This window comes from Homo sapiens, chromosome 6, assembly GCF_000001405.40.
Source record: "Homo sapiens chromosome 6, GRCh38.p14 Primary Assembly".
Lineage (NCBI taxonomy): Eukaryota > Metazoa > Chordata > Mammalia > Primates > Hominidae > Homo > Homo sapiens.
This window is the reverse complement of record NC_000006.12, coordinates 539,073-565,975: the sequence shown is the minus strand read 5'-3', so window position 1 is coordinate 565,975 and position 26,903 is coordinate 539,073. Positions and strand designations below refer to the sequence as shown.

The window sequence follows — 26,903 nt, the reverse complement described above, 5'->3', positions numbered from 1 at the left end:
TTTTTTGTCAGGTTTGTCTGATAGTTCTGTTGAAAACACCCAACAATCCTAACCCATATTTTACTTACATTGATATGTTCATTATATAAACTAACCCTACACGCAGTTTTTATAGCTTATACAGAAATAAATATATATACAACGTGCATAACATTGCTTGTATTTTAAAACTGACTTAAAGTCAATATCATGATAATTTATAATGCAACTGTTCTTAACTTGAAAGGTCTCTTGACTTGTCATGCGTTAACCGATAAGGCATGAGCATTTTCACCTTAAAGGTTAACTTTTGCATTATGTCAATGAAGTGTCAGAATTTTATTTTACATTGTATAATTTTGTTAATGCTTCTTTATTTAGAAAGCTTCCTGGGCTTGTCCTTCTAGGTTATTTTATATAAAAATATTTAGTTAGAAAATTTGTTAATAAACAGTTCTCTGAAATCCAACTGAACAGGCTTCTCTTTTAGTCAATATAAAGTAGTTTTCCATACATTAAGGGGAAAGAGACAATGGAAAAAAACATGAGTTATATCAGTAAACAAACAAAAATTAATTCTAGAATGATAGAATGTATTTTATCCTAAATTACACTGAAATCTCTGAAGGAAGAGCCATAGTTTATAGTATTTAAAACTAAAATGACAGATTTCAGAGTTTAGGCTTCCTTTGGTTTCTTTACTAGCTAATGAGAAATGATGTTGACAGTGTTGTCGTGGGTATGATACCTGATGGTTTAACCATACGACATCGTTGGTGAAAATGGTAGATGAAATTCACCTGTAAAATCGGTAGTTTCAACTTAATTCTTGGATTCATTCATGGGAATTGTACGTAAAGGTTTTAGAAAGATAAATAACTTCTCATTGGGATAAGAAAGGTTTTCTAATGAATCATTCTTTAATCAGAAACATAGATTATGTCTTAAGCATTTCTTTTAATCAAGTTATAACCATATTTAATGTTCTCTTGATGTACAAGTGCTAAAGCATTTCTTATTTTTAAATTATTTCTAATATGTTTTATTTTGTTTTTTTAATTTTTAAGACTGCTGAGAAGTCAGGCCAGATTGAAAGATCAAAGAATGTAAGGCAAAGACAAAATGATTTTAAGGTGAGTAAGGGTGATAAGTATGTAGACCTTTTCACAGGGTAGGGTTTTTCCTTTCTCACTTTGTATTCAAGACATCCATTACTGCCCAGGCAGCATCTTTTAGTTAATGTAACCCGATTAATCACATTTGAACACGGTTATGCTTGTTCCTGGTTTTCTAGAAAATGATTCAGGAAGTAATGCACTCCCTGGTGAAGCTTACCCGCGGAGCCCTGCTTCCCCTCAGCATCCGGGATGGGGAAGCCAAGCAGTACGGAGGCTGGGAGGTGAAGTGCGAGCTCTCCGGACAGTGGCTCGCTCACGCCATCCAGACTGTAAGGTGAGTATGGACACATTCTCAGAGAAAGGCGTACTTCTGTTTTTTTTAACTTTTTGGAAAGAATTAATACATTCAGTGAAGAAGAAATTCTTCTTTTTCTTCTTTTTGTCCTTTTGCCTCCACTGTTTCCTGTTCATCATCTGACAGCTAAGCTCCTCACTGTTCCTGGTTTTTGTGTTGGACTAGAATGTTCTTGAGTTTACGCATCTTCTCCGTTGTTTCACTCAGTATTACTCTGACAGTACAGTCCCAGTTGTGGTCTGTTTCTGTTTTCAGCCTAATGCTGTAGCTCGTAAGCTCCGTGAGGAATGATTATACAGTGAAAGAGATGCTAGGGATTGCTTTGCGATCCCACTCTGCTCACTTCTGTTTGGATGTGTTTGTTCGCAGACTTACTCATGAATCGTTGACTGCCCTTGAAATTCCTAATGACCTGTTACAGACTATCCAGGATCTCATCTTGGATCTCCGAGTACGTTGCGTAATGGCCACGTTGCAGCACACGGCGGAAGGTGTGTTTTGATAAATCGGTGACGTTCACTGTGCAATGATTATCTGAATGTGCCACCTCCTTTCAGTGTCCAAATCCTTGAAAACAAGGGAAAATTACTCTTCTGGAAATTGGAATATATTAGTTCATCTTATTTCTAGCTGCTCAATAAGTGTTTTTTCTTTTTGTGATGTATTGTTGAGAATTAAGACCATGCAGAAACTAAGATGGATACACTTGAAAATGTTTAAAGATATAAGAATATTGTTATGATAAATGTTAAGTAGAAAACATAGGGTATAAAATGTACATAAAGTCTGATCTCACTTTTGAAAATATATGGATGTATATTTTTAAATTTTAATTTACAGAAATCAATGTCCAATCAAAGGAAACTCTGTTAGTGTTGGTTCTCTGGATTCCAGAAATTATAGATGATTCTTGTTTTCTTTATACTTTTTAAATTTTTCAGGCTTTTCTACATAAAATCATAAAAAAACCATAAAGGTTTTCTTTACAAAGCAGCCTTTTAGTTATTAAATATTTTCAAAAATAAGAACATTGCTAAAATGGCACAGGCCTTTACTATCTACTACCAGGCTTGGCTTTTTAGGTAGGAAGCTTACATCTCTGCAAAATTGGTGGGCGATACTGTGTAAATGGGAAGGGAATGGAACCCAGGTGAGAAGTTGGATATTCCCCTCTTAGTTGATTACCTCCTCCTCACCTAGGAACCTGAGCCTGCCCCAAGGCCGAAGGTTTGAGCAGGTGGCATTCCCTTAGCCAACTGAGAATCATATTGCCCTTGTCAGGAATCTGTAGGATTCAAAAAACAGCCAAATTACTCATCAGAAATTTTAGGAAAAAAAATACTGTATGACTTATTTTGTACATGCCTAGTGTTGTGAAGAATCCTGAATAAGTAATAAATGATTGTCTCAAGTTGTCATTAAATCCAACGTAGAATTCCCCAAATTGGGCTATACAGTAAAAACTTTTATTCACATTAATATCTTAGTAGAATCATCCAGTGAACAATATGTACTTAAATCATCAAGTCTACCAAAATTATATTCTTTGCCTACTTTCATCGAGTTTTTACAAACCTATATAAAACAATGAAAAACCATAACCTGTATACATTTTTAATCTGTATAAAATTTAGTGAGATAATTATAATAAAGTATTTGTGTGCTTCTTCTCATATAGAAATAAAGAGATTAGCTGAAAAAGAAGACTGGATTGTTGACAATGAAGGACTGACTTCTCTAGTAAGTTTAAGTTCTTTTCAATTATTAGTCATTAGTGTGTATTTAAAATAAATAGTTTATCATATTAATAGGGAGCATGTGCTCCATGTGTTGCAGCTCTAAATAGAAATAGAAGCTTCTTAAAGGTTTTCTTCTCAGAGACATTTTTGCTTAACACGAACCATAAATATTGAAAAATTAATGAGAACAATGCGTTTCTTTTAGACTTGACCTTTTTCATCCTGTATAACTTACGATTTTTGTTTGAATTAGTTTTTTAAAAACAGAGTATGCTCAATTCTAAATTACTCAGCAACTTGAGCTTTTCCGGAAAGCAGGATAGAAGAGATGACGTTGCTGGCTCCAAAGCCAAAACAAACCAAACAAACAAAAACAACCACCACAGACCACTGCAGATACATTCTCAGGCCAGGCAGCCAACTGTGACCTGTTTCTAGAATCTTCATCTTTTCAGCTGGGACTTTTAGGTTTAAAAATCATCTTCATGATTTCACGGGTTTTCACACTTGTCTCACGGGTGCCCCTCGCGGTCCTGTGGGTGGCTGTGCCAGTGACGATGGCCAGGCAGCGGCCGACACATCCCAGTGGCTTTCACCAGGGGGGGACTTCTGTCTCTCACAGCAGCCTGGCAGCGTGGTCACACAGTCAGTGCCCAGGGCTGCCTCCATCCTTCTTCCCTGTGACCCTTCACACTGCCTTCTACTCAGGCTGGCCTCGGGGTCACTCGTGGCCTGGCTGCTGTCAGGAAGAAAGTCCAGTCCCCTCCCAGGAGCCATAACTTGCAACTCTCCTCCATCTAATTGGTCAGAACACATTCCATGCCTGTCCCTGTTGGCAACAGAGGTCGGGAGAGCACGTGGCTGCTCCTGTTTTCTGTCTTACCTTATTAAGAAAAAAGGATAGGCTGGGTGCGGTGGCTCACGCCTATAATCCCAGCACTTTTGGAGGCCGAGGTGGGCGGATCATGAGGTCAAGAGCGAGACCATCCTGGCCAACATGCTGAAACCCCGTCTCTACTAAAAATACAAAATTTTGCTGGGCATGGTGGTGGGCGCCTGTAATCCTAGCTACTCAGGAGGCTGAGGCAGGAGAATCACTTGAACCCAGGAGGCAGAGATTGCAGTGAGCCGAGATCGCGCCACTGTACTCCAGCCTGGTGACAGAGCGAGACTCTGTCAAAAAAAGAAAAAAAGATAGCAATCCTAGGAGGCAACTAGCAGTTTCTGCCTCAGATAAGGAAACTAGAATGAAATGGTCTTGACTTGCCCAGATTTACAAACCAGTGATGAGTCAGGCTATCAGGAAACAATGATCCTGCACAGTATTTTTAAATTCCCTTGAATTTCTATATAGTCGTGCCTTGGTATCCTCAGCGAAGGCTGGTTCCAGATCCCTTCATATACCAAGATCTGAGGACTCTCAAGCCCCTAAAAGTTGGCTTTCTATATCCTTGGACTCTCTATCCAGCCAGTTCCACCATTGGTGGAATTCACAGAGGCAGAACCTGGGGCATGAAGGGCAGACTGTACTTCTCATGGACTGTCTTCTGGGGGCTGGGGAATTTTTGACTCATTCTATTCCTCCAAAGTTCAAGGTCCTATCTTAAGTTAATATATCATTGTACCTTACTTTATATATAACAAGGTGATTTAGAAAAGCAATGCTTTTTTGCAAATTAAATCATGCTTGAAATGAGTTAGGGAAGTTTATTATTTTTAATAAGTCAATTAAGATTCTATTTTAAATGCTTTATTTTTAATAAAAATATTTTAATTGGGCCGGGTGCTGTGGCTCATGCCTGTAATCCCAGCACTTTGAGAGGCTCAGGCGGGCGGATCACCTGAGGTCAGGAGTTCGAGACCAGCCTGACCAACATGGTGAAACCCTGTCTCTACTAAAAATACAAAAATTAGCCAGGCACGGTGGTACATGCCTGTAATCCCAGCTACCTGGGAGGCTGAGACAGGGGAATCACTTGAACCCGGGAGGCAGAGGTTGCAGTGAGCCGAGACCGCGCCATTGCACTCCAGCCTGGGCAACAAGAGCAAAACTCTCATCTCAAAAAAAAAAAAAGAAAGAAAATTTTAATCGATTGGGTTTCTATTCGTCACAATTATTTGTATTTAAATAGTGACTAGTCTATAGCTAATTCTCCCTCACACTAAATCTTTAGAGAAAGGTATGGACCTGCACCACCTGCACAAAAGGCAGAATGTGAACCATCTCCACGTTTTACATGCACTACCTGGGAAATAATAATATTTGGATAGACTGCATTAAATAGATTATATGAAAATTGACTTTATGGGTTTATTTTTTAAAAGCTTTTTAAAATGTGATTACCGGTAAATCTAAGATTTCTTACATGGCTTCTGTTTGTGGCTAACATTATACACCTATCGGACAGCACTGGTGTGAAGGGAAAACTTATTGCACTTGATTTGGAATCAGAACCTACTTCAATCTTCCATGTGGTCCTAAAGAAGCCATGTAGTCTGTCTGACCCTAGAGTCTTAGTCTGTAAACAGGGAGCAGAACACATCTTCACAGTGATGTGGGTTAGGATACAATGAGATACTGTGGACCGAAGCACCTGGTAAACTGCAAAGCTCTGGACAAACATAAAGGATTTTTATTTGTTAAATTAATACTTGTGATCACTGGGCTACTATGATAATAATACATGAAGTTTACTGTGTTCAGAGCTCTTTTCTATAGACCTATCCTAATGATCACAGCAAGCCTGAAGACAGGCCAGAAGGGATCATTGGGCCACCATCCACTGAATCACTTGCCCGAGATGAAGCAGGTGCAGGCAGGTTAGACATACCTGCCTCAAGTCAGTTATGTGCAAATGGAAAAAAATTATATGTTCAGTTTGAGAAGGCAGAGTCTGCTGTCAGGGTCCTATTCCTCATTCTTAAAATCTGCCATCAATTCAGTAACTCTGAGCCATAAAACAGGGATTGGCTTCAGGTCCTTCTTCAGGTCAGTGCCTCGGGTACACGTGGTCAGCCAGTGTGTGCTTCCCTGGAAGCCTCCAGACCTCGTTTGCCTGATTGTAGTATATCAGCCTCTGTGAAAATGCTCTGAAATAGTTACTTCAGAAGCTTCTTTGTAGTTTATTTTTAAACTTTAAGTAGTGCAACTGCAACCATAAAATAACTGATTTCATGTTTGATCTCTCACACAAGCCACATAACTATCTGCAGGGACGAAAGAACTGACCCCCAGTGCACCTTGCGAATGAATGAGCCCTAGGAAATAGCACGTCTGGAGTCAGCCAAGACATTGTCTAGCCAGAGGTCCTTGAAGAAGTGTCCTACCACGATAGACCTGATAACACTGAGTCAGTTTTTTAGCTATTCCGCGTGGACCTCTTAAGAGAAAACGTGAATCAATGTTTAGAAAATCCCATTTTTCTAAACATTAGATATCCCTTAATGGGATAATCCCATTGCTTATCCCATTGAGGACATCAAGGTCAAGCACTGCCTCACTATGACTGTCCCTCGGCTGAGGCATTCTCTCTGATTAGAGCTTTGCTTCAGAGCTCAGAAACAGCTCACTCGAAAGCATCCTGTTTTCTTCTCATGCTGAAAATGGTTTCTGCCTCTTTTCAATTTGGATAATTCTGAGATTCTGAGAATTTTCTTCTTTCAGAAGAACTGGAATGATTTGTGATAACTTTTGACAGTCATCTAAATTGGATGACTCACTGACAATACACAGAGACAGAACTATTTCTTTTGAGAAAAAAGAAATAGTGAATGTGTAGACTATCACCTACTCCCGGTTCAACTGAAAGCACTCATTGAACTTTCTAGTATTCTGTTTCTACTTATTATATTAGTGTGGGTATAAAAATAAAATTAATAAGAAAGTTGAGTCCAAATTTTAATAGAAGAAATCTAAACAACCACACATGAACATCAACATTTACTTATTTTTTTTTTAATTTTTAATTTTTTTGAGCCGGAGTCTCGCCTGTCACCCAGGCTGGAGTGCAGTGGCATGATCTCGGCTTACTGCAACATCTGCCTCCCTGGTTCAAGTGATTCTCCTGCCTCAGCCTCCTGAGTACCTAGGACTACAGGCACGCACCACCACACCCAGCTAATTTTTTGTATTTTTAGTAGAGATGGGGTTTCATCATGTTGGCCAGGCTGGTCTCGAACTTCTGACCTCAAGCAATCCACCCGCCTCAGCCTCCCAAAGTGCCGGGATTACGAGCGTGAGCCATCGCACCTGGCCAAACATCAACATTTAATGGCCCACGGTTGAATTTCAGATTCGATTGTCAATATTATAGTAATAATTATCATTGTAACATCTTAAATTTTCATACCTTCTGAGGTGGGTAGGTTAGATGAGTAAGGTCAGTAACCTAACAAACATTTTGCCTCTTTAAATGCTTTCTGTGCAGTTGGTATTTCATCCTCTATTTCTTATTTTATTACTGTTTTTGTACTTTCACTTTTAAGTATTCTTTATAATGCCCTCTGGTGGTTTCAAAGTGCAGAAATAACATGACATTAAAGCTGAGGCACTGTTTTAGCTTTCATTAAGTCTGGGTTCCTTTCCATAAGAAAATAAACTTGTCTTTTTAAAAGATGTATATAGATGTCACTTCCTTTCTTCTCTTCAGTTTTTTTCCCAAACTCTTTTAAAAATTAATGCATGTGTTGAAGAGAGGTTCTCAGTCCCAGTGTTTTGCACACAACTGCTTGGTTGAGCCTTGAGCCTTCCATGTCTCGCTGCTCCGGATGAAGCCCGGCCGCCTACCCCATCTCTCAAGACCTGTGCTCATGTTTGGTGGTTCTGACACGCTGCTCTTGTCTCGCTGCTCCGGATGAAGCCTGGCCTCCTACCCCATCTCTCAAGACTTGTGCTCATGTTTGTTGGTTGTGACACGCTGCTCTTCCTGTGCTCCTGCTTTCCCAGTGGTTTCTTGCCCACTCTGCGGGGTGGGTACACTGTCGTCCTCTGAGAACTTGCTCCTCTCCTTCCCTGTTCCTTCAAAGGGCTGGTCCCTCTTCCCCTTCCCGTCTCAGCATCAATGTTCTCACAGTCTTGGGGGCCTTCTATGACCATCCTATTTACAGCCGATCCCCCATCATGATTGTTCTCTCAGTTCTTCTTCTTTTCTTTTTTTTTTTTTTTTTTGAGATGAAGTCTCTCTCTGTCACCCAGGCTGGAGTGCAGTGGCGCAATCTTGGCTCACTGCAACCTCCGCCTCCTAGGTTCAAGCGATTCTCCTGTCTCAGCCTCCCGAGTAGCTGGGACTACAGGCGCGTGCCACCACGCCTGGCTAATTTTTGTATTTTTAGTAGAGATGGGTTTTCACCATGTTGGCCAGGACGGTCTCAATCTCTTGACCTCGTGATCCGCCCACCGCAGCCTCCCAAAATGCTGGGATTACAGGCGTGAGCCACTGCGCCCGGCCAAATTCTACTTCTTTTATTCATGACACTTACTATTTTAATTATTTTATTTCTATACTTTTTTAAACCATTTTGTCAACTTTGACTTTCATGATCGTGTCTTCTGCCTGAAATATACACATAATGAGAATTCTGTCTTACTTATTCCTGTATCTTCCTTAACCTAGAGTAGTTCCTGGCACAAAGTGAAAACTTAAACACCCTTAGGAGCTAAGATTCATTCTAGCTTGTCTTGAAATGCCATTGGTTGGGCATATTTTCAGGTTTCATTTTCTGACTTAATGTAGATAGAAAATGACTGTTTACAATCTATCTGATATAAAGATCCTGTACATCCTCTAGGTCATTATTATTATCATTAAATTTTGTTTAACAGTTCCAGAGATGTGGAAGATCTAGGAGACTCAGCTCATCCCAGAATATCCTTCAGAATTAGCATTCAAAATATAAACTCATTATATCTGCTCCTCGTTGTATATTGGCCTCTTAGAAGAGTAGAATTTTGAAGAAAATTTTTAGTCATATCTGAGTTTTATTGTAGTTGAATTAGATATACTTTGGAGTCTCAAGATTGATTCATTCTAAAATACGAAGTACAAAACATATGCCAAACCTCTGAAACTCAATGACTAGGAGATGACTTTTCAGATCGTGTGTCTGTTCCATTCCATTAATCTGGAAAATGTGGGGCTTGGGGCCATATTCGCTTGTGTTAAACATGTCTTCACAGCCAGTGCTCATTTTTGAGTTTTACAATATGCTGTTTTCCCTTCAGCCATGTCAGTTTGAACAGTGCATCGTGTGTTCTCTGCAGTCACTGAAGGGGGTTCTGGAGTGCAAGCCGGGAGAGGCCAGTGTAAGTATTCCAGCTCCGCTTGGACTCCAGTTTCCCAGGGAGCCTTGGGAATCATAGTTGTAAATTTTTGACTCATCGTACTGCAAGATCTTTTCTCCCTCTTCGCCTGCTTGTTCCATTTAGTTTAACTGCGTAGATGTGCTGATTTCCGATTCCAAGCCAGGCCGATGCAAGTTAAAGTGTGAGTGCAGGTGTTGTAGGTGGAGTGGTTACAGTGATAGCACTTTGTGGACAGCTATTGATGGGCCTGGCTCTTGACCATCAGCCCAGGACTGCGTTGTCTTCTCCAGCCCAAGTCACTACAGTAAGGAACACCTCCCAGTAGGCCCACTCTTCGCACGCCTCCTTTTATAGGAAGGGCACCACTCCTGCAGCAGCGTTCCACGTTTTAACTGTTCATATCTAACTTCATATACAAAAACCTTTTCTTAGCAAAGTCCAAAAATTTTCATCAAAATTCTTCCTTACAGGTCTTCCAACAACCTAAAACACAGGAGGAGGTTTGCCAGCTAAGCATCAATATAATGCAGGTAATAATAGAAAGCAGTAATGCTGAAAGCCTCAAATAATACTAAGTGTCAGTCAACCCCTCTCCTATTTATAATCTGCAGATGACGTTCACCAAATAGGTATTCTTTTTTCATCTTGTCTGTGTACATAATAGTTTAAGGTAAGTGGGTAACAAAGTTTAATGTAAGATTAATTCCAACTTGTTTTAGCAATACCCAAATGTTTCATTTATGTTATGCTCCCCTTTTTTGTGTTCTCTTGGTACTTTCTATGTATTCTGTTCGAGCACAACGTAAATTAAATGATATTTAGTTGTTCACATTATATCTAGGGTATAAAGTATTGTTATTGGGACCAGTGCTTTGCAGGCACATAAAGTTGAGAATGTGGGTGAATGAATAAGAGAAAGTCTTTTTCCGGAATATATCTTTACAAACTTAATAATTGATCAAAACATAGGCACTTCTAATTGTCTATTACTTATGTGATAGATATGGCTGGGATATATATTTCTGTCATTAATGGGGCATATACAGTATATACACATATTCATACATGCACACAACACCACACCACTAATGAGATATATAATTCTACTTTATGTAAAGTTATCTTTAGTGTCCAAATAGATTAATGTCTAGGAGTTCATTCCTCTGAGAGTTCTGAAACTTATGTTTTCACTTAGGTTTTTATATACTGTCTGGAACAGTTGAGCACCAAGCCTGATGCAGATATAGATACTACACAGTAAGTAAAAATTAAATTAATCTCATTAATGCATTTAAGAGAATTAAAAATACAGGCTCAAGTTTTATGCTTGGTCTTATATCCTAAGACTTCTAGTAAGAAAGAAAGATTGTTCATATCGAAGTAATAGTTTTTTTTTATATTCGACCTATATTCTTTCCATAGTTTATCTTTTCAACTCATCTTTGCCTTATTAGAGACAAATCAAGCAAATTGAAGACATGATTAGCTTATTAATTATCCAAAGAACAGGTTTTATAAATAATAAAGTGTTAAATGTAAATATGTAACTCCTAGTTGATGATTTTTACAATTCTGGTGTTAGGGGGAGGCACCATTGCTCTTGCTAGAGACTAAGCATGTTGGTAGAATTATGTCAAGCTTAGTTATTGGAGCTCCAGTGGACACATGTTAGCTCTTGATGTTTACAAATCCATATGGTAATTCTTTTATAATGCTGTTGTATAGGACAGCATTGTAAAGTGCTGGTTTTTTTTTTAAGAAATCCGTTCTTTCTGAATTATACTTGGCATGTGTAACTTCTGTGTACTTTATGCTCTGACACAGATAATACTGAAATAAATGCCTCTTATATCTTCAGTTGACAACTTGGGAATTTATCCATGTTTGTCTATTTACTGGTTTTGGCTTTTGCTTTTCAGTATATAAAACTATCACCTCCCTAGAGACCCAATAAGTTTTTAATTCTCCTAGGTTTTCTTTGATTTGATTTCATATTTTTAGCTCATTATTTCACCAGGAATTGGTTGTTAGTCAGATCCCTCATATTATGGATTAAATGTCATGTTGCCCATGTTAACAGATTATCCATAGTACCTTCTTCGAGCTGTTAACTGTTAAGTCTAAAACACTTATTAAAAGTTTCTGGCCGGACATGGTGGTTCATGCCTGTAATTCCAGCACTTTGGGAGGCCGAGGCAGGCGGATCACGAGGTCAGGAGTTTGAGACCAGCCTGGCCAACATGGTGAAACCCTGTCTCTACTAAAAATATAAAAATTAGCCAGGCATGGTGGCGGGCGCCTGTAATCCCAGCTACTCAGGAGGCTGAGGCAGAAGAATGGGTTGAACCCAGGAGGAGGAGGTTGCAGTGAGCCAAGAACGCACCATTTGCACTCCAGCCTGGGGGACAAGAGCAAGACTTCATCTCAAAAAAAAAAAAGTTATGTGACTTTCACCAAATGTTTTCCATATAATTCATTGCACGTTTAAATTTGCGTATAGTTCATTGCATTTTTGAATTTGAGTGCTTTATTTGTAACTGTTCCTACTTGCTTCTATGTTCAGTCTCTCTGTTGATGTTTCTTCCCCTGACTTGTTTGGAAGTATCCATGAAGACTTCAGCTTGACCTCAGTAAGTCAGACGATAACTAGAAAGTAAACCATTTTAAAACTGTGTAACAACAATTTCGCAAATCTAATGACTGTGTTCCTGCATCCTTGCTATAGCACGTGGTATAGGACACTGTGCTGTGCTTTGGAGCTCTATTATGTGAAATTTTCAGGAAAGTATAATTTATATGAATTTCACAATTAACACTTTTAGCTGGAGTTGCAGTGTCAGTCATTCCATATACTGTCTGCATCTGTGTGGTTTCCGAGTGTTAAATGGGTGCCCTTATAGTTCCTGGTGCTTGAGAGTTGCCAGGGTGGGTTGGGGAGCAGGCAGAGGACAAGGATGCCCACCCCCTCACGGCTCCTGCCTCTTCAACCAGAGTAGTTCTGCTTTTCTCTGTTTTATTTCTATAAGTTCCATCGTAGCCTTTTATTTGAGCACAGCCTCAAATAGATACACACACACACACACACACACACACTTATACACAAACAGATGTATGCATACACTGCATATATACATATGTATATATACACACACACTTTTTAAAATGTATACATGTATTTAAGGAGATTCACAAACATATATTATCATGTGTATAAATTCATCTGTTGAAACTCAAACTCTAGCTATCATAAATAAAATAACCCTTTCTGGCCAGGCACGGTTGTCATGCCTGTCATCCCAGCACTTTAGGAGGCCGAGGCAAGTGGATCACTTGAGATCAGGAATTCCAGACCAGCCTGGCCAACAGGGCAAAACCTCGTCTGTACCAAAAGTACAAAAATTAGTCTGGTGTGGTGTCGGGTGCCTGTAATCCCAGCTACTCGGGAGGCTGAGGCAGGAGAATCGCTTCAGCCCAAGAGGAGAAGCTTGCAGTGAGCCAAGATGGCTCCACTGTGCTCCAGCCTGGGTGACAGAGTGAGACTCCATCTCAGAAAAATAATAATAATAAATAACCCTCTCTGGTTTGTCATGAGTTTGAAGGGGGGGTGTGTGTGTGTGTGTGTGGTCTGTGTCTGTCTCAAGGTAAAACTGTTTGACCCAAATGTTCTACTATATATGTAAGTATGAATACCTAAATAAGGGATTTGGTATATTAGAAAAAATATAGTTTGGTCAAAGTAATTTAAAAAATTATTCTAGATTCAATTCCTTGGATGACTAGGTAGAGAATGATACCATTCACTGAGACAGAAATTCAGGGAAAACACAGGCTCACGAGAACCTGGGTTTTTTTTTGTTGTTGTTGAATGGGTGACATACAGGTAGAGATATCCAGTGGGTGATTGAATGTCCTTGTTTAGATCCCAGGAGAGAAATCTAGATACAGATTTGTGAATCAGCAGTATATAAGCAATATATAAGGCCTGGGAGTAGATAAGAACACCAAGAATTCTGGCTGAACAAAAGAAAAATGCTGGTTCTTCTGTTCACCCAGAATTGCAGGTGGAGTCGCCCCAAGAGTGGTGGCGGGCCATCCCGAGCCACCCCAAAATGAGGTCAGCTGGCCTTCCAAAGCAAGAAGCATGAAATGCAGGGTCATCAGTGCAAAGCATTAGGGAACGACACACAGAGGGGGCGGCACTTGGTCCTCACAAGGAAAAGCAGGGAGCGACGTCCTGCCTAGGTATGTCGGCAGTGAGGGGGCCTGGGTGTGGACTTCATGGGAGGGTTTAAAGCATTTGCCTCAGGGCGGGGCTGATTTCTGCTATTTAGCAACGTGGTTGATCTCTGTGTTTTCTGCTATAGCTTAAAGAGCTTCATCGGTGCCTGGGAGGTCATGGTCCCCACTTGGGTGCAAGCCTGCAGGGGAAGGCAGTCAGCTGGCCCAGTCAGAGCCGCCAAGGCACTCTGTGCTCCTCCAACAGGGCGCGGAGAGAAAGCGAGGGAAGCTGGGGAACCCTACCCTCACTGAATGAGAGAAGGGCCAAATATATAAAAATAATGTTGAGGGTGCCAGTATTTATGGGCTCACCAGTAGCAGAGAGCCTCAGTTTGCCCTGAAAAGGGTTAATCAGAGAGACAGAAGGAAATCCAGATAGAGCAGCACTCCTGAGAGGGATGGAAAATCCCATTTAAACAAAGGAATGCTTAGCAGCCCCAAGGGCTGAGGGGCTTGTGGAGCATGGAAATGCGGCAGGCTAGGGGAGTCCTGTGGAGACAGGGCTGCAGGAGAGGGCCTCCCGAATGGAGACTGCTGGAGTCTTCCCCTTGCTGGCACTCTGAATCCTCAGGCACTCCCTCCTGGTGTGCTGTGTCCCTGCACTTGGGGTGGTCCTGCTCTTGTGCCTCTTCCAGTGGGTGGAGCACAAGAGTCAGCCCTGGACTCCCTGTGACGCGGCAGCTCTCAGCTGACTCACATTGAGCCTATTCTCAGCTATCCCCCCAGGCACCTCACATGTGTCTCTGCAGGTTGCAGGGCCTCCTCTCTCCTGCCTTAGTCTCCAGTGTTTTTTTGTGACCAAATTCAGTTCCTCTGTATTCTCCATTGAAAGCTATCTCATCAGATTTGGTGCGATCTTCTTAGGGTCTTGTTCTGTTATCCAGAAGGGAAGCAGCTGTGGTAAGGAAGGTATCTAGATTCGGAGTCAGAAGACACTGGTTCGCATCCTGTGTGACCTCAGGCACATCACTGAGCGGGTTCTCCTGAACGGAACGTGGGGGATCACTGAAATAATCTAAGACCATATTCATCACCTGCACGTGCTACATTTGATGGGCGGCGTTGTTTTCAAACGTGCGTCTCCATCTTAGTTGTTAATAAGCTTTTGACTAGTCATCCACGGTCCAGAGTCTGTGCTGTTCAGTTTTTCTTTCCACTTTTATTGCATCTGAATGATTACATTTGAGCAACAAATGTACTTATAGGAGGAAGACTTTAAATCACTCAAATAGCTTTTCTGTTTTTTAAGAGTCATGCAAATTACAGTGAGAAAAACAAAGAGAATTTACAGGGCAGAGAAGATGTGGCAGGCTCAGGTCTGCTAGATAAGGAGACTTGACTCTGGAAGGAAAAAGTAACTAAGGATTGATTTTCAAAACTGAGCAACCAGCTGAGGTTTTTGAGGCGAACAGCATGTTGAAGGCAGCTGATGAAATGTGAGGTTTACTTACTCCTTGTCCTTACAGGGACTGCGTCATGGTGACTCCAGGCCCGGGGACTGGAGGGGAATGTAGCGTCCTCGTCCCTCCCTCACCTGGGCGAGTTTCCAGTGCTTATTCACTGTTTTCCTTCTGGCCGTTTATTCACGAAACGTGGAGGAGTATCATACATAATACAACCCTATTTACCTTGTCTTATACCCCATTTCCTAGCCATAGAGTAACTCAAGGCCGTTCGCTTGTTTGAAGATCCTTTAATACTCCCTAGGCCTTTTACTTATGTTTGTTGATGACTAGAAACAGGTAGTGAATAGGCTACACACTCTGCCAGAAATAAAGATGGGAACATTCAAAATAAAAGAATCTAGAAAGTTTTTGGAAACTGCTGAGCTGAATGAAATTATTGGGAGATATAAAATACTCTTGGTGACTAAATTCAAGGATGTTATCTTTTTTCACATATCCAAAAAAATAGGAAGCTCTTTCCACATTGACTATATCGAATTACTTTCCTGTAAGTTATTCTGGTTATGCACAGAAAGAGCATGCAGAGTATGTGATGGAAAGTGTTTTTTGCCAAAGGTTTAGTCAAAGGATCTAACTCAAGGCTCTAGATTAGTCAAAGTTGTTCCAGAGAAGGCCCGCCTGCCTGCGGGAGCACAGGTTGGGTGCCTCGGTGAACCGCACCAGCAGCAAAAGGGCAATTCCTGGAATTTTATTTACCAGGTAGTCTTGAACTGTGAAAGGACACTGTGTTTATCAGCATTTGTGTCTGGTAGTTTTCGTAAGAAATTACTTTAGGTGGACAGAACCCTGGAGAATGTAGAAGTAACTGGCTTGTACCCCTTCCTCTTGGCAACACTGACCGTGTCCTAAGGTGGAGTCCTCCACCCTCAGTGACCCTCACTCCCCATTAGAGGGAGATTATTCCTTGTTTTCTTCTGCAAACACAAGCAATTCTTAATGCCCTAAGGTATTTAAAGGAGCCCATCATACAGATATATGGCAGTGTAATTCTGTTCCAGGTTATAAAAATTTATAAACTACTTTATAATAGTTTCTACATTTTAAATGTAATTAGTTATTAAAAATATTCCTGTAGCCTTTTCTTGTATACAAAGTATTAAGTAAACAATATAGTAGAACACTTTTCATAAGCAACACTGATCCCAGTTCCCAGCTGATCCTAGTTAATGGAATTTTCTCAATCTGTTTTTCCATCCAAGCTGTTAAGTCTTAAAGGAAATATTTGATTCTTTAGTATATTGCATGTAATTATAAGCAAATAGTAGAGTTGCAGGATTTTACTGTGTTTCTCTTTATGTTATAATATTGGGAAAGAAGCAGCCAAGAAAAGCAAAGCATTGGATATTGACGTTAAAGAGCAGAGATTATAATTAAACTTGACAAGTGTTAATCAGCTATTCTCTCTGGCACCATAAAGGTGATTTTCTAAACATTTGTTTTGCTTTTAGGAACAGCGCCTTTTGATAGTCCTAAGTAATTGCTGCTATCTAGAACGTCACACCTTCCTAAATATCGCAGAACATTTTGAAAAGCACAACTTCCAGGGAATAGAAAAAATCACACAGGTAAGCGAGTTCATGTAAAACGCACAAGTCGGTGGTTTTACCAGCTCAGTTTTCAAGCTGTTTCCTAGCCTGTGTTCTGCTAGCAGTGCCCATTCCCTCTGCGTGCCGCCCCCACAGCCACACTGCTTCCCCGCCTTCACCCTGCTAAAGCTTTGGATGATTCCCTTCCTTCCCATGGTTCACCTTGAATGGTTAATTTAATACCCTTTTCTTTTCTCTAGAGCAGAGCTCCCTCAAGGTTACAGCTGGTTTACTCCTCACCTGAGCTGTTCAAAAGTGAGGGAAGAAAATGAGGAGGGAAAGGCAGCAAACCCAGATCTTTCAGAATTATCTCATATTTGACTCCTTTTAGGTGAACGCTTTAGATACAGCCAGCAGCAAACTCCCTGAGCCTGCAGAAAAACCTCTTCCTGCGTATTCACACCTCTCCTTCCTCTCTCCCTTTCTGTATGACCTCAAGGATGCTTTTGCTTTGCTGCTTTGTGCATGCACGCGTGCACACACAGCCGCTGGCTCAGAACAGCTGCAGGATGCTCTGCATCCTACCTGAAAAATATGTCCTCCCCACTCTCCAATCACTGCACGCAGAAAGATTGGGCAAAAGGGAGTCCAGTAGAAATTAATGGAGTGAGTTTTCTTTTTAATGTTACACTTTGTTGTTTATATTTTTTTCAACTAAGCAGAAAAGGAAAAAATGAAGTAACCTTGTTATTAAGGTTGATTGGTTCCTGGGCAAAGGTTTATCAGATTTCTCAGTAAAACTATGCTAGTACCACTTTTTAATGTCAGTACAGTTTTCTCAATGCAAAGAATGAGAACGATAATGATCTGGTTAATCTTATAATCAACACGCACTCAGGGTTACCTACTTTTTATAAATGGTGGTTCCAGTTCGTGAACTACATTGGGATTTTTTTTTCAAAGAGTGAAAATGTCAAAGTGGGCGGCCCTGTCTTGTTTTCCTGCCTTTTTGTAAAGATTAATCATCCTGATGAGAAATGTCGTGACTTAAGCCTTTGGGGCCAAATGTCTAGTTTATTTCCAGAAATTTTTGTGTTAAGAATTGCAAGGTGCTATCTTGCAGTAAAAAAGTGGCTATTTGTAGAAGGTGGTTGCTTTGTTTTTATATAACAACAATGACATGAATATATTTATTGGAGAAATGTTATTTATCATTTTAAAATATGTGAAATGATTAGGAATTGCATGTAAAAGAAGCAAGTTTGGTTTTCTCTAGGTTTTTTGCAGTACTAAGTAGGAACTGTTGCTTCACTTTATATCACTAAGAAGTAGAATTAAATTAATTCTTAAAAAGATTTTTTCATATCCTTCCTTGTCTTTGTCCAGATCATTTTGAGACCAAGATAATACAAAGGATCTGGAGATTTAGCAGTATAAATGGTAGGCTCTTTCCCACTCAGAATTTGGATTTTTTTTTCATCGACCGTCTTGAATATTTTGAAATTCAGTTGTGTTTAGAATGAATAGATAGTAAACTAGATTTAGATGATAACATTTGCACTGATTTTATTCATTTGTGAATCTGTTAATTTCATGATTCCAACCAAGTAAAGTCTATTTCTGGCATCAAAGGGAAAGGTCTGCTGACTCTGCCACTGTTTTTCATAGTTTTCCCTCCAAAAGACAAATAATTCTAGGGGCATCGATCCCAGAAGAGTCACAGGGCACAGGTCACAGTGGATGGCTTATTCATTCCCTCTCTGTTTCCGCACTTGAAGATGAGGGTCTCTCATAGGGGGACCTCATGTCACTGGGTGTGAGACCTTCTCTCAGACTCCTCTGGTGTGAGCCAGGGCAGGCCAAGTGTTTCCTCCGGGGATATTTCCTCCTGCTTTCTTACTGGTACTTACGCCAGGAAAGGCATTAAACGGCCAGTTTTTCATTCCCTTCACCTGTTCCTCACCTTGAAACATGGAGATAAATTAGTCTTAATATAGGAACAGGAGACAAATAAATGTTTTTAGGGGATTATTAAAATGTAATGATCAGTGACATTTGAAGCTAGAATGATTTTATACATACACTTTTATTTGGTGCATGAAATCAGGAATGGTATCATCAGCTCCATAATCTTCATAGGGAAAGATACCCAGAGAGGTCAAGGACTTGACCTGTAAGAGCACAGCAAGGCAGGACTCAAAATTACATTTTCTCATTCTAAATCCGGAATGCTTTCTGGTCCAGCACCATGCATCTTAAAGAATAAAACTGGTCTCATGATAATACAGTTGACCCTTAAACAACTCAGAGGTTGGGGTGCCAACCCCCTGTGCAGTCGAAAATCTAAGTGTAACTTTTGACCACCCTAAAACCTAACTACTAGTAGCCTCCTGTTGGCTGGAAGCCTTATGAATAAAACAGCCTATCAGCATGTATTTTGTTTATCTATTGCATACTGTATTCCTGTAATATAGTAAGCTGGAGAAAAGAGAATGTTAAGACAATTATTAGGAAGACAAAATATATTAACACTATTCATAAAGTGGAAGTGAATAATTATTATGAAGGTCTTCATCCTCCTCATCTTCATGTGGACTAGGCTGAGGAAGAGCAAGAGGAGGGGTTGGTCTTGCTGTGTCAGGGGTGGCGGAGGCAGAAGAAAATGCGTGTATAAGTGGACCCACATAGTTCAGACCCGTGGTGTTCAAGGGTCACCTGCACACCAAAGAAATGAAAATAGGACCTGAAGCTGGTTGATTAGTGTACATTGTTTTGGCCTTTATGAAACCACATTGAATGATAATTCATGAGATCAGGGTATCCAAATCATCTTCTTCTACATTGTTCCTCCTTAAAAATAAGCCCCGTTATAAACCTTTGGTGGACTCGGTGCTGTCTGAATCCAGAAGTATGTGCCAACAGGGAGCGTCCTGCCATGTGCATGCATTTTCATTAGTATTGCCTGTACCATTTAGCTTTTGCTCAAGTCCTGGAGATGTCTTTTTCCAGTCATGCATTTTTTTTTCAACTTATAAAAGTAAGATCCAACCGTTATTCTTAAAAAGAAAAAATATTGGGAAGTCTAAAAAAAAATAAAAATTAAAATAATCTATAATGCACCAACCAAAGGTAGACACTACGATTTTAATATTTATAGTAACCATGACTTTATATATCCTATCTATATGTTATAAAAATATGAAACATGGTGAAAAGGAATTTGAGAAAAAAAGAAACATTTTTCTGAATTCATTTGACATTGTATTTTTCTACTGAATATATTCTATCATGAGTACTTTTCCATTTTTATTTAATATTTTTGTAAAATGTGTCTTATGGCTTTATAACATTTGTTAATGTGGGTATACGTAGTATTTTTAACCTCTCCCATACTAGTAACCTTAAGGTTATTTTTAATTTTTGTTGTTGTTACTGAGAAGTGAAGATAATCTTTGATCACATGTCTAATTACTTCCTCACGATAGAATCCTGAAGTAGATTCACAGCCCCAGAGGTACTTGGTAAATATTGCCAGATAGCTTTTTGGAAGCTGATCTCATCACATTTCTGTCATCTTTTTAATTACGATGTTTAATTCGATAGGTTAAAATAGGCTTTCATTGTATTTTAATTTGCATGCCTTTTTCTATTTAGGAGGTTAGCGCTTTTTCTTCTGTTATTGACTGTTTATATTCTAGAAGAACTAATTTTGAAGGCTCTTAGAGAGTTAAGATACATGTTGCAAATAAGTTGCAATTTAAGTGTGCAAACCAAATTTGCCACCAACCAAATTCTTTCATACCTTTGAGAAAGGAAAACCAGAGTTGTATGGTTAATAAACTTCAGCGTATAATTTTATTGTGGTAGGTATAATTACATAATTCCAGGGAGTGCTTTTACATATATAAAATACTTTTTTAATCTGTCCCAGTCTTTAAAAATAAGCATCTAATTCAGAATTTGTATACTTCCAGATTTTCACCTGACGAAGCCTGTAGACATTAAACATGGCTGGCATTAAATTTTTAATTGAAGTTTTTTTTTTTTTTTTTTTTTTTTTGAGACGGAGTCTCGCTCTGTCGCCCAGGCCGGACTGCGGACTGCAGTGGCGCAATCTCGGCTCACTGCAAGCTCCGCTTCCCGGGTTCACGCCATTCTCCTGCCTCAGCCTCCCGAGTAGCTGGGACTACAGGCACCCGCCACTGCGCCCGGCTAATTTTTTGTATTTTTAGTAGAGACGGGGTTTCACCTTGTTAGCCAGGATGGTCTCGATCTCCTGACCTCATGATCCACCCGCCTCGGCCTCCCAAAGTGCTGGGATTACAGGCGTGAGCCACCGCGCCCGGCCTGAAGTTTTATTTTAAGCCTGTAAATCTCTTTGAGAAACTCCGGCGTGAAAGGTGTGGAGGGGCAGCTCCTTTTTCTTATATGTCCAGGGAAGTTCCTTTATGCTGAGCAGCTGATTCTAGAGTTTTGCGTTGCTTTAACTGCATGTACTGTATTTTACATGTTTGATTATTGTAGCTTATTTGAATATCACTAAATTTCAAGTTGGAAACCATTTGAATACCTAGATGTGAGTGAGTACAGTTTTGTGTCTTCACTGCTGTATTATCTCTATATATATGTGTTTCATTTTCCTTGTGTTATACGTATAAACAAAATCAGCTAAATTTTGTTTACAGGCTATTTTATATAATAAATAAGTTGTAACTTAATCTGTTTCAGAGTTTAAGATCTTACAGACAGAAATTATAAGTTGATCAGATGTGTTTCTGCTTTCAAAACACTGATCCTAATTTTTGACCCTATTTGGCTGCCTTGAGTTTCTTGTTCAAACAGGAAGGGAAAGAATAAACATACATACTTAGAGAGATACCCCATCAGAAGGACTCAGAGACCTTGTCATTTACAAAGTGCTACCTCCCCAATACAGAAAGTACCTGAGAAAAGGTTTCACAAAGCAAGAAAGAACATAAGATTTCACATTCCAGATGCTGTTTCAGAGAGCGGAGGAAAGGCACCACATCTCTTTGGAAAGCTGGGAAGTGCAGGAAATAAGGAGTAAAACAGCTGGTTCTCCAGTTGGGTAGGGTGTGGCATTCCTAAGCCAAAAACTTTGAACCCAAGCCAACAAAATGTAGATAATTGTGGTACCATCCCCTGTATTTCTGTTCTCTGAGCATTTGATTTGTCTGCTTCCTCTTCATACTCAGCAGTTTCTGTAGACGACCTCATCTGCCTCCACAGCTTCACCCATCACTGACGGATGCCCATGATTCCCAGATTCTTTATTTTTGACCTGCATGTCATTCTGATACCTTCGATCTGTTTCCTACCAGACGTCCTCCCTGGAAGTTTCCATCGAGATTTCAAAGCAACCTGGCCTAACCAGTCATCTTCCTCCTTCAAAACAGCTTCTCTTTTATGTGTTCCCTGACTTAGTCAGTAGCCACTGTGGATCACTGAGCCACAGCTTGGGAATGGCTCCTTTTTTTCTGTTTTATTTATTCATTTTTAATTGACAAATAATAATTATGCATATTTATGGTGCACAATGTGATGTTCAACCTAAGCATACATTATAGAAAAGTCAGTCGAACTAATTAACATATTCATCACCTCACCAACTTACCTTTGTTGAGGACATTAAAAATCTTTTAACACTTTTGAAATACACAATACATTATTATTAACTGTGGTTACCATGCCATGCCCTTTGATCAACACCTCCCCTTTCCTGGCCTCACTCTGCCCTCAGCCCCCGGTAACTACCATTCTACTCTCTGTTTCTATGATAATGACTTTTGTAGATTCCACATATAAGTGAGATCACAGTATTTGTCTTTCCGTGCCTGGTTTATTTCATTTAGCATAAGGTCCTCCAGTACCATCCATGTTGCAGATGACAGAATTTCCTTCTTCTTTAAGGCTGTGTAGTATTCTATTGTGTATATGCACCACATTTTAAAATTCATTCATCCATTACTGGGAATTATTCTTGACATCATTCCTCATGATGGTTTTTGCCAAGTCTTTCTTCTCAACTCAACCCCTGAACCATCTTCCAAATCCTTCTCTACCTCTCTAATTTGCTGTTCCTGTCCAAGCTTAGCCCTTTTGCATCATCCGACAGCCGTGGTGTTGTAGGAACCTTCCTAGCGGTTGCTTTGCTTAATGTCTAAACGTTTCCACTCTCCAGCTTATCATCCAGAGTGTCCAGGATGGGCTTTCAAAAACCCAGAGCTCCTCTTGTTCTTCCTCCTCCTGTGTTTCAGGACTCCGTACTGCCTGAAGAGCTAAGCTCCGTAGGCTGGCGTTTGTGTAGGATTTTCATCTGGCTCTCTTGCCTCTTTCTCTCATGGCTTTTTGTCCCCCTACTCCAACACCTTATCATTCAGCCTGGGCACCTGCTCATCTTTACTTGAACATTTCATATACTTTCTCTGTTCATTCACTCATTCAATAAGTACACATTCAATGCCAGCTTACTACGGTGCTCTGTTGTAGGAACATTTATCTGTAGCTTGTGTTGTACTCTCTAGGCCCAGTATTTTCTTTATGAGGTGATGGTTAATGACTGGTCCAATTTCTTAAGTGGTTATAGAACCATTCAGCTTTTTTATTTCTTCCTGTTAGTTGTAGTCATCTGTATTTTTCTAGGACTGCCTTTTCCTCAGTCAATCCGGACTTCACAAAATCTTGATCGTCCACCAAAGCCCACTTGAGATGCAGATGTCTCATCCTTTGTTAAGCCTGTAGGGCCTCTCCTCCTCCATTCCCGAAGTGCAAGGTGCACCGTACCGTCCTCTTTCTCCTTTGATGCCTTGTTCTCGGCACTAGAACAGCATGTCACACATTGCATTATGATTAGTTTAATGGAGATGCACTTCTTTTCTAGATGTACATTCTTTTTAAATGTTTTTATGTTAAATATTTTATCCATATAATAGAATAGATATCGCATAATGTAGGATGTAAGAGAGTGATAAAATGAACCCAGGTGCTCCCACACCACCAAGCTGAAGGAACAAAGCATCCCAGAGGCCTTATGTCCACTTGTGCCCCTGCACAGCCATGCCACCCACCTTCTCCTATAGAGAACTACTTCTGAATTGTGTGGTTTCTAAACAATATTTTGTTTGAAATTACCTTTTTTGACTTTTACATTAGCATAAATAAGATTATATGGTGTGTGTTTTTCTGTGACTTTGTTTTCCCACTCAGTATTATTTTGAGATGTATCCATGTTGTAGCATGTAGGTCATGCTCGTTTGTAACATGAATTAAAGAATATATTCCTTTTTCTTCTTTGAAAGAGTTTGCATAAGATTGGAATTATTTATTCTTTGAATATTTAGAAAAACGCTCTGGTAGTGGTATTTTCCGTATGCCCAGATTTTCTTTGTGAGATGATTGCTAATGACTGGCCCAATTTCTTTAATGGTTATAGAACCATCCAGCTTTTTATTTCTTCATGTTAATCGTAGTCATCTATATTTTTCTAGGACTTTGCCCATTTTGCTTAAATTTTCAAATCTGTTGGCGTAAAATTGTTTTATAACAGTTTTATTACTTCAACCTCAGCTGCGATGTGGTCCTTATTTGTACTTACTATCGCTTGTTTGTATTTTTATTCCTTCAACCTCAGCTGCGATATGGTCATTTTTTGTACTTACTATCGCTTGTTTGTATTTTTATTCTTTGTTTCTTGCCAGAGTCTTTTTCAGAGAATAACTTTTGACTTTAGTAGTGCTCTCTCGTTATATCCTTGCTTTCTCTTGCAGTAATTTGGACTCTAATCTTGTTTATTTACATAGTTCATTAATTCTAAACCTTTCTGTCTTTTAATATGAACATTTAAGGCTGTGAATTTCCCTCTAAGTGTCTTTTTAGCTGTGTTTCCCATGTTTTCGCAAGTGGTATTTTAGTTATTCTTCATTTTTTTTAGTTTTGAATTTTAATATTCTATTTTAGTCTTGGCTAGAAGTATGATTTTAAATTTCCAAGCTAAGGGAGCAGAGGAGCAGTTGGAATTAGTTTTCTCTTTGTTAGAGATTTCTAACATCATTGTTCTGAGGTCAGAGAATATCATGTTTTTAGGTTTGCTGAGGCTTGCTTTGTAAGCTCATATGTGGACAGTTTTCTGAAACCCTACCTCGGTTGAAAAGATCGTGTCCTTACGTTTTGGATACCACATTCCACAGATGTCTATTACATCGGGTTTGTGGATTATGTTGTTCAGTCCTTTTGTTTGTTTGGTTTGGACTTTGATCTCTTGATTACTGAGAAAAATGTAGTAAGGTTTTTCCTTGGCTCCTTTTTAGATACTTTATTTGCCTCTTCTGTTCTGTATTTTTATTATGTGTCTTGGTATTATTATGTTTTTTGGCCTGTTTGTTCCCTTGGCTCTGGTTGATGTCTTTAATCAATTCTGGAAAGTTCTAAGCCATTATCTCTTCAAATATTTTTTCTTCTCCATTCAAACTTTTCTGTCCTTTAAGATCTCCTATTGGGTGTATGTTAGACCTTCTCACTCTATTCTTCACATCTCTTAATTTTTTTCTTTTTTATTCTCCTCATCTTTAATTGTCTGTACTGATTGGGGTAATCTCCTCAGCTCTCTCTTTTTGTTCCTTGTTTCTTCAGTTGTGTCTAATCTTGCTGAAATTTACTGTGTATTGAAATGTTATTTCAGTTGTGTTTCTTCTCCAGAAACTTTGTTTTTTGTTACTAAGTAAGGGGAAATTATTAACTTACTCTGGAATGGTATAATTCAGAAATCAGGGAAGGAGATAGTGGTAGCAGTAAAGTTCTTTCCAGTGTCTTTCCGATTATTCTGTATAGATAGAAAATCAAATCGTCAAGGATAAGATTATCCTATTGAGAACAGTGGAGCAAACAATTGAAGCCTAATATATAGGATGTGAGGTGACTAACTTGATTATTAAAAATTCCTGGCTGGGTGTGGTGGCTCCTGCCTGTAATCCCTGCACTCTGGGAGGCTGAGGTGGGTGGATCACCTAAGGTGAGGAGTTCAAGACGAGCCTGGCCAACATGGTGAAACCCCATCTCTACTAAAAATAAAAAAATTAGCTGGGCATGGTGTGCGCATGTGTGGCTTGGAAGCCCTCGCTAACAAGTCCTGGAGACACAGGCTGTCCTTCTGTTTCAGGTGACAGTATATCCTGTTTCATCTGTAGTTTTCTTTTTTGTGTTAATACTTCTCCTAGGAATTAAGAGGTTTTTTAAAATTAGTTATTTACTTGGCATTTATTTTGCCCCCATTTGACAAGTTGTGGTTCAGTAATATAAAGGAATGTCAGTTTGCCACCTGTCCTGCCATCCATTTGAAAAGAGCTAAAAAAAATTAATTTGTCTGAACCTAGTTATCCAGAGTCACTTGGATAGATGTTCTAATGATAGTTTGATGACCTTATTTCTATACAGATGGCCAAATTGGAATGAAAATAATTGTTTGTTGTTTATTTTCTTTCTTGGAAGCATAATTTTTAAAAAACATTATTATCAAAAAGTTTTTAAAATCACAAATTGGAAATTTTAAATTGGAAACATTAAAATACATCAAAATAATGATGTTATCTTTTAAACCATTGTGACTGTGTTGAAGACAACAGTAAAGAAGTTAGAGAAATTTGACAATCGACTTAGGCATCTCTTCTCCAGGACTGTCCATTGGGAGCACTGGCTGGCATCAGTGCCTGGTGCGTGAGATGGAAATGTTGTTGAGTGTACGTGATTGCTGCTAAGAAAGGCAGGGCGGTGGCTTATTGGGAGCACTGGCTGGCATCAGTGCCGGTGCGTGAGATGGAAATGTTGTTGAGTATATACATGATTGCTGCTAAGGTGGCAGGGCGCTGGCTTATTGGGAGTATTGTCCATTACACCAGAATTCTGCCTCCAGCATACGCCTTTTACTTCTGTAAGTTATTACCCACAGTTTTTTAATGCTTCGAAAGACCCTCCTCAGTGCTAATATGTACGAATTCAGTGAGTAAGTCTATTTCTGAATACAGATATTCCTGAACTTATGATGGGGCTACCTCCAGATAAACCCTTCCAAAATTGAAAATATCGTAAGCGCATTTTCTACTTATGATATTTTCTTTTTTTTTTTTTT

At 39.5% G+C, this 26,903-nt stretch overlaps 1 protein-coding gene across 18 annotated transcripts in view, besides 3 other annotated features; it reads left to right on the top strand.

Annotated features, from left to right (window-relative positions):
- The window catches only part of EXOC2 (exocyst complex component 2), a 207,986-nt gene that overhangs the window by 127,164 nt on the left and 53,919 nt on the right, over nt 1-26,903 (top strand). For all 18 annotated transcript variants that reach the window (NR_073064.2, XM_017011022.2, XM_017011023.2 and 15 more), the window contains 9 exons: nt 1,047-1,112; nt 1,274-1,431; nt 1,822-1,943; nt 3,131-3,192; nt 9,412-9,492; nt 9,963-10,022; nt 10,688-10,749; nt 12,056-12,122; nt 16,685-16,801. Coding sequence is in view for 17 of the 18 variants with exons in the window: in XM_017011022.2 (XP_016866511.1) it covers nt 1,047-1,112; nt 1,274-1,431; nt 1,822-1,943; nt 3,131-3,192; nt 9,412-9,492; nt 9,963-10,022; nt 10,688-10,749; nt 12,056-12,122; nt 16,685-16,801 (795 nt within the window). In the remaining variant the exon portion in view is untranslated. The remainder of the gene's footprint in view (nt 1-1,046; nt 1,113-1,273; nt 1,432-1,821; nt 1,944-3,130; nt 3,193-9,411; nt 9,493-9,962; nt 10,023-10,687; nt 10,750-12,055; nt 12,123-16,684; nt 16,802-26,903) is intronic.
- Nucleotides 1,056-2,255: an enhancer, noted in NCBI's record as "CDK7 strongly-dependent group 2 enhancer chr6:563721-564920 (GRCh37/hg19 assembly coordinates)". NCBI's record gives its function as "activates an origin of replication core promoter dependent on BRD2, BRD4, P300/CBP, MED14 and CDK7 cofactors, with strong dependence on CDK7, by STARR-seq in HCT116 cells {active_cell/tissue: HCT116}" and the evidence as "EXISTENCE:reporter gene assay evidence [ECO:0000049][PMID:35650434]".
- Nucleotides 8,514-8,701: a silencer, noted in NCBI's record as "fragment chr6:557275-557462 (GRCh37/hg19 assembly coordinates)". NCBI's record gives its function as "represses an EF-1alpha promoter that drives an FKBP-Casp9 reporter gene in an ReSE screen in K562 erythroleukemia cells {active_cell/tissue: K562}" and the evidence as "EXISTENCE:reporter gene assay evidence [ECO:0000049][PMID:32094911]".
- Nucleotides 13,246-14,067: an enhancer, noted in NCBI's record as "H3K27ac-H3K4me1 hESC enhancer chr6:551909-552730 (GRCh37/hg19 assembly coordinates)". NCBI's record gives its function as "activates a minimal SCP1, AML or CMV promoter by ChIP-STARR-seq in naive H9 embryonic stem cells {active_cell/tissue: H9 hESC(naive)}" and the evidence as "EXISTENCE:reporter gene assay evidence [ECO:0000049][PMID:30033119]".